The sequence below is a fragment of the Homo sapiens genome, chromosome 9 (genome assembly GCF_000001405.40).
Source record: "Homo sapiens chromosome 9, GRCh38.p14 Primary Assembly".
Lineage (NCBI taxonomy): Eukaryota > Metazoa > Chordata > Mammalia > Primates > Hominidae > Homo > Homo sapiens.
Window position 1 is genome coordinate 16,176,826 of NC_000009.12, and position 11,860 is coordinate 16,188,685.

Genomic DNA, 11,860 nt, shown 5'->3' on the forward strand with positions numbered 1-11,860 from the left:
TTTCTAGCTTTATTTCATTATACTGAGAGAATATGACCCATATGAACTCAACATTTTACGTTTTTACAGTTTTCTTTTTGGTCAAGCACGCTATCAATTTTTTATATATGTGTATATAACATAAAAGGAAAAGTGAATCTTTGTAACATACATTATGTATGTGCGTATATGTGTGTTTATATATATACTCACACATATGAAATATTAGAATTTATTATTTTACTCCTTTATATCTTTTTTTGCCAAAATTGATGTGCTGGAATCTCAGAGAACTAAAGTTCCCACTATGATTATGGTTTTACCAAATTGTTTGTATACAGTTAAAATGTTTTTTACATATAACTTATTGCTTCTATATTTTGCTCATTTCAACAACTCAAAACATTCCTTGTTACCTAATTTCATGTTTTGGTCTCAAGTACTACTTAATCTGACATTAATATTGGTATTCTTCCTTTCATTTGGTTTGTGTTTGGATGATATAATTATAGCTATCATTTATTTTTAAACATTTTCATTTCGTTTCAGGTATCTATAATCTTCTAAACAGTGCCCAATTAAATTTTGTTTTTTGTTGGTTGGTTTGTTTTTCTAACCTAATCTGTGAGTCTTTGTCTATTAATGAGAAAAATAAAGCCATTCACATTAACTGTGATATCTGATATCTTTGTTCTGATGCCTTCCATTTTATATTTTCTTTAATTCTTATTTTTTCTTCTTCTTCTTCCCTGATTTGAATATTTTTAAATCCTTTTTTCTTCCTTCAGTATGAAATTCTGCTATGTTTCTAATTTTGTTGATAAAGTTATATCTTTAAAAGTCATTTTTAAACATATGTCTCTGCCAAAATTAAGTAATAACTTCACACCTGCACCCCTCTCCTAAAAAGCACAGGAACTTCAGCAGGGTTTTTGCCTTCTCACTCTTAATTTCTACACACACCTCCACCCCCACTCCCACTTTTGAGTATTGTTTAATTAATATGGGATTTTAATTCTGACAAGCTATTAAACTTTTATTATAATACATCTCTTTTCAAACATTCTTTTTTATCATTCACATTATCATTTATATTTGCATTATTATGAGGCTATGCACGGCATTACCGTATACAGGATAAATGCAGGTTCTGGAATCAGTTTATCTGACTTTAGATCCTGGTTCAATGAGCTTGGACAAGTTACCAAAGGAAAAGTAATAGCAAAATGTGATATTTGCCTCTAATGTGGGGAAAGTAATAGTAAATAATAGATATAATGTACTTAGAAAAATGCTTGACAGATGGTAGGTAGTCAAAATCTGTAAGGTAGTATCATCATCATCCAATTTAGATTAAATTGTAAACTTCATTGCATTGTTGCATTTGGTCTCCTCTAATTCTTATACTCCATTATCTGCTACCTTGAGATTTGCATTCTGATTTTAATTTTATGTGACTTTCACATTTTATTAAGTAATTCCTTTATAAAAAGTACAAGAGTCTTTGCTTGTGTGGAAATGTCTTTCTTTGACCATCCCAATATCTTGGTCAGGTAGATAATTCTGAAATTATAATCCTTTTCTTACAGATAAGAAAACCAATGCCTGTCTCATTCTGTTCTCTGTTAAGTAAATCATTCTCTCTCTATTATCTGATTTCAGAAACTTTATCATCCAGATATAGCCAGCTTTGTTTGTTTTGCCTTATTAAATCTGCCTGGCAAGCATTTTTGATCTGAAAATGCAAGTCATTTTTCATGTAAGAGGAATTGTCTTCTAAAATGCATTTGATTATTCTCTTCAAACTATTCCCTCCTCTCCTTCTGGGCTACTATTTTCACATTATAGATGTCCTGGATCCATCTTCCACATCTCTTATCTTTTTATTCATTATTACCATTTCTTTATATTGTTCTCTGTCCTGTGAGATAATTTGTCCATTGACTCTTCCAAGTCACTAGTTGAGTATTCATCATGGTCCAGTTTATTGTTCAATTTTCCTGTTCTAGTTTACTGTTTAGAAATTATATTTTTATTCCAGAAACATTTGTGTTCTTGGGTTGTTCCATTGCAACCTCATCTTTTATCATTTTAAGAGTTTTCATTTTAGTTTTATATTTTGTTTTGTTTTATATCCTCTTTCTATCATTAAATCAGCCTCCATAGCAGCCATGTATCCTGGTTTTAGCTTGATCTGCTTTTCTGGAGTCTACTGATTTTACTTGCAATCTTTCTATTAGTGTATGTGAGTTGTTTTGGGACCTGTGTAGGTAAGGCTACCAGTGTCTACTGGGCATGTATACATAGTGGAAGATGGACAAGTGAACAAAGGAAAAAGAGGACTATGTTTTCCACCAGTTAGTTACCAACAGATTAGCAAGTTGAGTCCTGTTTTCTGGGGCATGAGGAGCCCTCTAAGATCTTATTTTTTTTTTGAGACGGAGTCTCGCTCTGTCATCCAGGCTAGGGTGCAGTGGCGCCATGTGTGCTCACTGCAAGCTCCGCCTCCCAGGTTCACGCCATTCTCCAGCCTCGGCCTCCCGAGTAGCTGGGACTACAGGTGCCCGCCACCACACCTGGCTTATTTTTTGTATTTTTAGTAGAGACGGAGTTTCACTGTCTTAGGCAGGATGGTCTCGATCTCCTGACCTCGTGATCCGCCCGCCCCGGCCTCCCAAAATGCTGGGATTGCAGGCGTGAGCCACCGTGTCCGGCCCCAAGATCTTATTTTTCTCCATGACTGACGGGGAAGTGCTGTCTTCAAGTCTGTGGAAGGGAAGCTGTTCATTCCAAGATTGTTGCCCTTGAAGGCAGCCAGAACCAATGAGATGAACAGATGTTTCCCAGGGCTGCACCCAGCAAACAGATGGGGCAGTTTCTGTGCCTGTGCTGCAGAATCCGCAGGCTCAGCTGGGGATCCCCCTTAGGCAGCCAGGCAAGAAGTGATCTCACCTGCTGAGCCCTTCAAAGCCAGACCACATCCTTCAGCTCTCCTCCCCACCAACCCTTAGTGTCAAAAACATGGCTCAGAAAAGCTACCCTTCATTGGCCCCTCATAGGCACTTCTTCTTAAGAACCCAAAGTCTCAACGTATGTAGATGCCCTCGAGGCTCCAACAATAGACCTCGCTCAATCTGCAGGTTTTCTTCTCTAATCGTATTTGAATTGTAAGGTTTCCTATGGCACCATTTAGTGCTAGACAATTCTGTTGGGAAGTCAAATATTTTTCTTTCTTCTTTAAAGAAAAAGTAGACTATTGTTCCTTTCATATTTGGAAAGAGAGAGAGAGAAAGAAACTGTATAGATTTCATGTGACAGTTAAACAATTTTTTTTCTTCTTTGGTGCCTGAAAACAGAGGACTCAGAGGAAGCAGGAATGGTGAAATTTCCTAACTCTGTGTTTTGCAAACTGAATGTGGCAGACATTGTTAGGTAGTCCCCTCTTATCTGCTGTGATGCTTTCCATGGTTTCAGTTACCCACGGTCAACTGCCTTCAAAAATAGATGAGTACAATACAGTAAGATATTTTGAGAAAGAGAGAGAGAGAGACTGCATTCACATAACTTTTATTACAGTATATTGTTATAATTATTTTATTAGTTGCTGTTAATCTTTTACTTTATCAATTTATGAATTAAACTTTATCATAGGAATGCATGTATAGGAAAAAACATAGTATATATAGCATTCTGTACTACCCGTGATTTCAGGCAACCACTGAGAGTCTTGGAACTTGTCAGCTATGGAAAAAGGGAGACTCTTATATTTGTCTATTCAATAGACATTTCCTGCCTTCTTATTCCCAGTTAGCCAGTTAAATGAATCAGGATTAGTCTAAACCAGTCATGGGAACTCCATTCCCCTTTGCCAGAACTTACATTCCAGCCTCCCTGGTAGCTGGAGAGAATCATAGCAAGTGTCACCCAAAGAGATTTATGTATGTATATTTTGGAGGGCCTGTCCCTTACCTTTCGTTCTTCTTGGAATGACAGTGTGAAAAGGAATGCCTGGAGCTATGGTAACCATTTTGTGATCATGAAAAAACAAAACAAGACAATCATGGAGAGCCAACACGTTGAAGATGGTGTATTAACTTAGGCTTGAAAGAGTCAGGTCACTGGTGACAGAGTTGAAGCACTTAAACATGTTAAGTCAGAATGTAGGTACTAATGGCTTAACCCACTATGGTTAGGTATTGTATTACCTGCAGCTGAAACCCTTTCTAATTGACACACTGATGTTTGGGTTGGTGTACTGCAGTTAGGCAAAGGTCATAGATGAACATTATTTTGTTTTTAAAACAAATACCAATATATTATAAAAAGAATTCAAAACCCACATGAATTTTTAAAATAAAACAGGAAGCATCAAAGTGAATTTCTATTTTCCAGGAAGTTCTTTGGCTCATGCCTATGGATGGTCACTCTCCTCTGCCCTTAGGAATTTGGAGGGCAAGAGTTTCAGAAAGACACTAGAAAGGCAGACCAATGTTTTTTGTTTAATAAAGATCAATAGTCAAGCAGATTATTGCTGCTACTACTGCTGCTGCTGTTGCTGCTGCTGTTGCTGCTGCTGTTGCTGTGATATCATTATTTTTCCACCAGTAACTGAAGAAGAACACGTTGCTGATGACTGTGAGACATTTATGCCAAATATCCCAGCCTGGGAAATATCTGATTTTACCATAAAGATTCAGGGAGAATTACAAATATATTTTTCAAATGAACTAAGGTTAAATGAGGCTGTGATTAATAACAGGGGTTTGTGTTATTTATTATATTTTGAGTTGCCTCTGAGGTGAGCTGCTCTTTAAGTACTTTTTCTTTCCAAAAGAGAAAATGGGCAAAATAATAATGAATGCTGCCTATTATTAGGTACATATCATGTGCCGGTCACTGTACTGAGTACTTCATAGGCATTATCTCACGAAGTCCTTCCAAGAATTCTAGAACAAGCTGTCATAGTCATTGTTTTACAAATAGGCAACTCAGGGCTTAGAAGCATTATATAGTTAGTGGGAGAAATTTGTATCTGCCAAGCCCATATTCTTAATGTAACACTATGCTATCTTCCATAAAGTAGTTGAATGCCACTTCAAGGCCGTGAAACTTACAGTTTAACATAGTAGATCTTTTAACCAAGGTATCTATTTAATAGTGACATATTTTGAACTTCAGATTTAGTTTTTTATTACTTTCCACATCTTTGAAATTGAATTGGCAGAATTAAACCAACTGATTATCAACAGAACATGGCATGATTTGTTTCTTAATTATCAACCGGGGCAGTGTTTATCAATAGTCACATGTATACTTTCATTGTATTAAGTTTTTGAAAAATCAAATTCAGCACATTACTGATAGTCCTTGAGCCATTGGCTAAGTCAGAAAAAAAAATCAAGGGGATAGTGAGGCACATCACAGATAATTCGGACATAGAACAGTGGTTTTCTTCATAAGACAGTGCTCAATAGTCTCTCACTATTTTTCTATGTTGACAAAAAATAATTCCAGTCTTCATACTGTCATGGTACAAATAGAAGTGTGACTTACATCTCACAATTTGCATAGCTGATTTCCTGTCCTTTTAACCATTCCATCATCTGTACGACAGTTACAAAATTGTTTTTCTTTGGGACATCATTGGTATATGCTTATGCTTCAAGGAGTTTCCACATTAAGCCATGGGTTTATTATATGACACACAGGGAATCTGATCCCAAGTAGTATAATAACCAGACTCTGCAAATCAATAAATCAGGCTTCACTGATACTCAGAGCTGCAACTCCAGCCTCAGGAAGCACTTGGCTTTACTCTGGGTACCAAGGTACTCAGATGACCAGTTGTGAATAATAAAGACTCAGCCTTCCTGAGGCCTGGGGTTAACCAGTTCGGAATCCTATTCTCCTGATATAGAATAGCCCTAATACATACTTAGTGTGAACACTGTAGAGACAGGGTTTCACCATGTTGGCCAGGCTGGTCTCCAATTCCTGACCTCAGGTGACCCGCCTGCCTCAGCCTCCCAAAGTGCTGGAATTACAGACATGAGCCACTGCGGCCAGCCATTTAATGGTCTTTACTTGTAAATATGGGGATAATGAAGGAAACTTGGATGACTCTCAGATGAGACCAGTCACCTGCCTTAGTCACAGGCCTCACCTTGGTTACGCTGGTATAGCACTAAGACCACCTGGCATGCCCACGTTCCCCTTCTTGCAGAACCTTCCCTCCCTGCAGCTTCTGCTTTAAAGACTTAGGGCTGTCATCTTTGATACAATGCGACTCGGACCAGGTGTGGATGACTGGACCAGGGATGGGCAGTGCTCTAAGGAAGCCAAGCCAAAGACACAAGGCATGGCCTGGCCCCCCACAAGATGAGCTGAATTAACCAAGACCTTCATTTGAGCTGAGAGACTGCAATGAGGTATCATCGATGAGAGCTGAAGTAGAAAGGATATCCTGGGGTAGAATTAGGCTGGACAAGATCCTGGGGAAAAAATTCTGAGATGAGGAAGTAGATATTACAGGGACACAGGAGCTATGAGGCAGGGAAAATATGTGGTGCAAAGACGTGGTGCACAAGGTGAACGTAGGTCACTGAAGGATGGAAGAGAAAGACATGTAGAGGGAGAAACAGAGAGAGAGTGAAAGAGAGACAAGGAAGGAGAAAGAAAGAGAGAGACAAGAGAGAACTAGTCTCTAAAACTGATAAAACTGTCTCTAATGCTAACAGTTTTCCAATTCCTGCCCATGACTGTGGATATTCACAATAAGCCCTCCTTGTTTTGCTGGATGTTTTGCCCTGTTAGGCCATTTTCAGAGGCAGAGAGTTTGAGAGGCTTACTCTAAAAAGTGTCTTAGAAGTCTGGAAATTGAAGTTGGCTCCACTGGGCATGACCTTGACTATGACCTGAGCAGCATTATTACTAAGAACTAACTCTTAAGAAGGGGCACGCCTCGTAACTAATTCAGATAAGCAGAGTTTGCTTGCTTGGGAATCCTCTGAATCGCCTGTGGCCTAATTCTATGAACAAAACCCCAGAGAAGAGCCACTGTTTATGGCTGAGGGAAAGGTCCATTTACTTAAATAGGGCCCGACATGCTGGTAGCGCAATGCTTTGACAAGTGGGAAAGGACAAATGGAATCACCTAAATGGCTCTGGCTATTTATCTATATATTGTAAGTGCTGTATTTCCTGGAAAGAAGCTGGGACTTAAGAAAATAGTTTTAACCTGTTCTCTCAACTTCCTGGCTGCCGTGATACTCAAACCACATTTCAATATTTCTGGGTTTTGTCTGACAAAGTAGAAGTGTGTGGAGGTGGAGGTGAGGAGGGGAGGAAGGAGGAGGATGTAGTGAAGATGAAATCATAAAACCGGAAGGAATTCAAAGGGTCAAACACTACAGGCCCCATCTGCAGGCAGGACCGTTCTAAAACCGGGGGAGATGCACCTCCTATGTCAAATTGGCAACAAGGGCATTCTAGATATTTAGGCCATTTTGCTCATGCTGCCAAAAGCCTCCTTTGTCACGGAGAGTAGACCTGATATCTGATCTATCTGAAGGAGCACCAGGTACTTGCCCTTTTTTCCAATCTCTCTTCCATTGCTGCCTTAAAATTTTGTAAGTTAAAAGTCATCTGTTTGGGCTACCTATCTCCAGGCATTCTCTTTCGATCTTTATATAAACTTATCAAATAACATTTCTCTAGGGCAGTAGAGAATTGCTGAGTGATTTTGAGATTACTGGGCATCTGTGTGGACTGTGGGAGAAAACAAAACAAAACTATGATATAGTATGATATGATATATGATATGAAATGATACGACACCATCAATCTGTGGCTTTAAAAATTCTTTGTGTATTTATCTCATTTTTCCCCACAACACAAAAGATAGATGCTTTTATTATTCCCATCTTTCAGATGAGAAAAACCAAGGGTTTGAGAGATTGCATGGCTTTTCCAAGCTCTAGAATTAAGGGGCAGAGTTTAGGTGTGACTCCAGTCCATGGGTTGGGTGTTTTTTTTCCTACTCTAGGTGGGTTCTCCAGGGAACTGAAGATATTCACAAACTGTTTCAGGTTGGCTTTGTAGCCAGTGACCAGCAGCCAGCAGGATTCAGGGGTAACAGCAGGCAGTGGGCCCTCCCTCCCCCATGAGCAGACCAAGCCCTCTCCAGGAGGGGAGCCTCCATGGGGCCATGGCACCCCTGAGGAGTAGCAGCCTGGCCAGCCCTCAGGAGAGATGACAAGAGTTGTCCCTTTCCCTAGCATGTAAAGTTGTGTAGGAAATTACCAACCCTATTCTCTGCCTTCTCTTTCCACTCAAAGGCATGTCACTTTCAGACAGAAATCTGACTCAAAATGTACTGTCATCATCTATATTAGTTATCTATTGGTGCATAACGGCTTACCTCAACATTTAGCAGCTTAAAATAATAAACATTAATTATCTTAGTTTCTGTGGGTCAGAAATTTCAGAGCGGCATAGCTTGGGAGTTCTAGCTCCAGGTCTCTCCAAGGCTGCAGCCATCTAAGGTTTGACTGGGGCTGGAGGACCCACTTCTGAAATGGCTCACCCAATGGCTACTGGCAAGAGATTTCAGTTCTTTGCTGGCTGTTGGCAGGAAGCCTCACTTCCTTGCCACATGGACCTCCCCCTGGGGCTGCTTGAGTGTCTTCATGACATGGCAGTCAGCTTTCCCCAGAGTGAGTAATCCAAGGTAAAGGAGGAAGTCCTGGTGCCATTTATGTTTGAATCGTGGGAGACCCACACTGCCCCTCCGGCACACTCCATTCCTTAGAACAAGTCAGTAAGTACAGCTCACATTTCAGAGAGGGAATTAGGGTGTACCTATTGGAGGAAAGAATATCAAAGTATTTGTGGATATTTATTGATTATTTCTATTTTATTTTATTTTCCATTTTTTGAAACAGGGTGTCACTCTGTCACCCAGGCTAGAGTACAGTGGTGTGATCATGGCTCACTGAAAACTCAAACTCCTGCATCAGCTTCCCAAGTAGCTAGGACTATAGGTGAGCAGCACCACGCCTGGCTAACTTTTTAAATTTTTTGTAAAGACCAGGTTTTGTCATGTTGCTCAGGCTAATCTTGAACTCCTGGCCTCAAGCAATCCTCCTGCCTCGGCCTCCTGAAATGCTGGGATTACAAGTGTGACCCATCATGCCCGGCCTATTTGCGGATATTTAAAAACCACCACGCAGGCCCACAGGAGCACTGAGAAATCTCAAAAACATTCAAGAAGTGTGTGACTCTCACAATTGTCAGTTAATAAAACCAGAAAGATGAAGGTTTATCTTAGTTACGCACCTCATTAGACTAGATTATAGGATTGTTTTGATGGCGCTCTGAGAAACATTCCAAGAAGCACACAGTCCTAAATGTAACAGGCAGATGATTATAGTCCATTGCATACAGTGCACTAACAACCATGGCCAGGATGTATTGATAGTTTACTGTGTGCCCATCATTGCCAGAGAGGTTCTACTTGCATTAACTCAACCCTCACAATGACACTATGAGATAGGTACTGACATTATCCCCATTTTACTTACAAGGACAGCTCATAATTGGTAGAGCTGGGATTTAAAAAAAAGGCATGAGCAGAGTGCTGGCAGAGTCCAGGTGGGAGGAGCCTCTTCCTGCCTGGGTTGGGGTGAGAGTCCTGAAAGCCATTCTGAAAGAGGAGATATTTGAGCTGGACTATAAAGGATGAGTAGAAGTTTGTTGAGCAGACAATGTAGAAGAGAACACAGTTGGGGCAGGGAATTGTGACTACTGAGGTTAGGTTATGTAGCGCTGCTGGGATTTTCCTACAGGCCCCTCATGTGTTCAGGCTTTCTATAGTGTTTGCATCTGAGTCTTACACAGGTCATACCCACAGTCTGATCTTGGTCCCTCCCCAAATAGAATTTCCCGCACCAACAGGCCTTTGAGGAGACAGTGGTGGGTATGGGAGAAAGAGGAAAATGTCTTCATGTTGCCTGTATCTAGTTAGACTGGGCAGACTGGGAATGAAGTCAGTCTCTTGATTTCATTTCCCACATGGTCTGGTTTGCTTTCTTTGATGCTTGCCGCAAACAGTGACCACCACTAGCTAATTGTCCCACTGGTGCGTCTGGCTGGTAATGCTCAAGCTGGGTAAGTTCCATCCATTTTACTGGGGGCAATTGAGAAGCCTTAAAGCACACATGTTAATGACAGAAACCATGTATCTATAGGAAAAGTCACATGACGGCCATAGCAAACTCCTACTTAGCATGACTGGGTAAGTAAAGTTGTGGTGGTTAATTGACTATTTCATTTAACTAAGGGTTACACAGAGATCATCCATACCTTACTGATTTTCAAATAATTAGAATCCGGTTAAGCACCACTTTGGTCTGAAATAACTCTGTGCATGATTTAATATTTCTTTTTTTTTATTGAGAGAGGGGTGAATTTTCTTTTTTTTATTATACTTTAAGTTTTAGGGTACATGTGCACACGTGCAGGTTTGTTACATACGTATACGTGTGCCATGTTGGTGTGCTGCACCCATCAACTCGTCATTTGACATTAGGTATATCTCCTAATGCTATCCCTCCCCCCTCCCCCCACCCCACAACAGGCCCCGGTGTGTGATGTTCCCCTTCCTGTGTCCATGTGATCTCATTGTTCAGTTCCCACCTATGAGTGAGAACATGCGGTGTTTGGTTTTTTGTCCTTGCGATAGTTTGCTGAGAATCGTGGTTTCCAACTTCATCCATGTCCCTACAAAGGACATGAACTCATCATTTTTTATGGCTGCATGGTATTCCATGGTGTATATGTGCCGCATTTTCTTAATCCAGTCTATCATTGTTGGACATTTGGGTTGGTTCCAAGTCTTTGCTATTGTGAATAGTGCCTCAATAAACATATGTGTGCATGTGTCTTTATAGCAGCATGATTTATAATCCTTTGGGTATATACCCAGTAATGCGATGGCTGGGTCAAATGGTATTTCTAGTTCTAGATCACTGAGAATCGCCACACTGACTTCCACAATGGTGGAACTAGTTAACAGTCCCACCAACAGTGTAAAAGTGTTCCTATTTCTCCACATCCTTTCCAGCACCTGTTGTTTCCTGACTTTTTAGTGATCGCCATTCTAACTGGTGTGAGATGGTATCTCATTGTGGTTTTGATTTGCATTTCTCTGATGGCCAGTGATGGTGAGCATTTTTTCATGTGTCGTTTGGCTGCATAAATGTCTTCTTTTGAGAAGTGTCTGTTCATATCCTTCACCCACTTTTTGATGGGGTTGTTTGTTTTTTTCTTGTAAATTTGTTTGAGTTCATTGTAGATTCTGGATATTAGCCCTTTGTCAGATGAGTAGATTGCAAAAATTTTCTCCCATTCTGTAGGTTGCCTGTTCACTCTGATGGTAGTTTCTTTTGCTGTGCAGAAGCTCTTCAGTTTAATTAGATCCCATTTGTCAATTTTGGCTTTGGTTGCCATTGCTTTTGGTGTTTTAGACATGAAGTCCTTGCCCAGGCCTATGTCCTGAATGGTATTTCCTAGGTTTTCTTCTAGGGTTTTTATGGTTTTAGGTCTAACATGTAAGTCTTTAATCCATCTTGAATTCATTTTTGTATAAGGTGTAAGGAAGGGATCCAGTTTCAGCTTTCTACATATGGCTAGCCAGTTTTCCCAGCACCATTTATTAAATAGGGAATCCTTGCCCCATTTCTTGTTTTTGTCAGGTTTGTCAAAGATCAGGTAGTTGTAGATATGCAGCATTATTTCTGAGGGCTCTGTTCTGTTCCATTGGTCTATATATCTGTTTTGGTACCAGTACCATGCTGTTTTTGTTACTGTAGCCTTGTGGTAT

The 11,860-nt window shown here is 40.1% G+C and overlaps 1 annotated feature.

The window, feature by feature from the left end:
• Positions 2,648-3,148: an enhancer, noted in NCBI's record as "H3K4me1 hESC enhancer chr9:16179471-16179971 (GRCh37/hg19 assembly coordinates)". NCBI's record gives its function as "activates a minimal SCP1, AML or CMV promoter by ChIP-STARR-seq in naive H9 embryonic stem cells {active_cell/tissue: H9 hESC(naive)}" and the evidence as "EXISTENCE:reporter gene assay evidence [ECO:0000049][PMID:30033119]".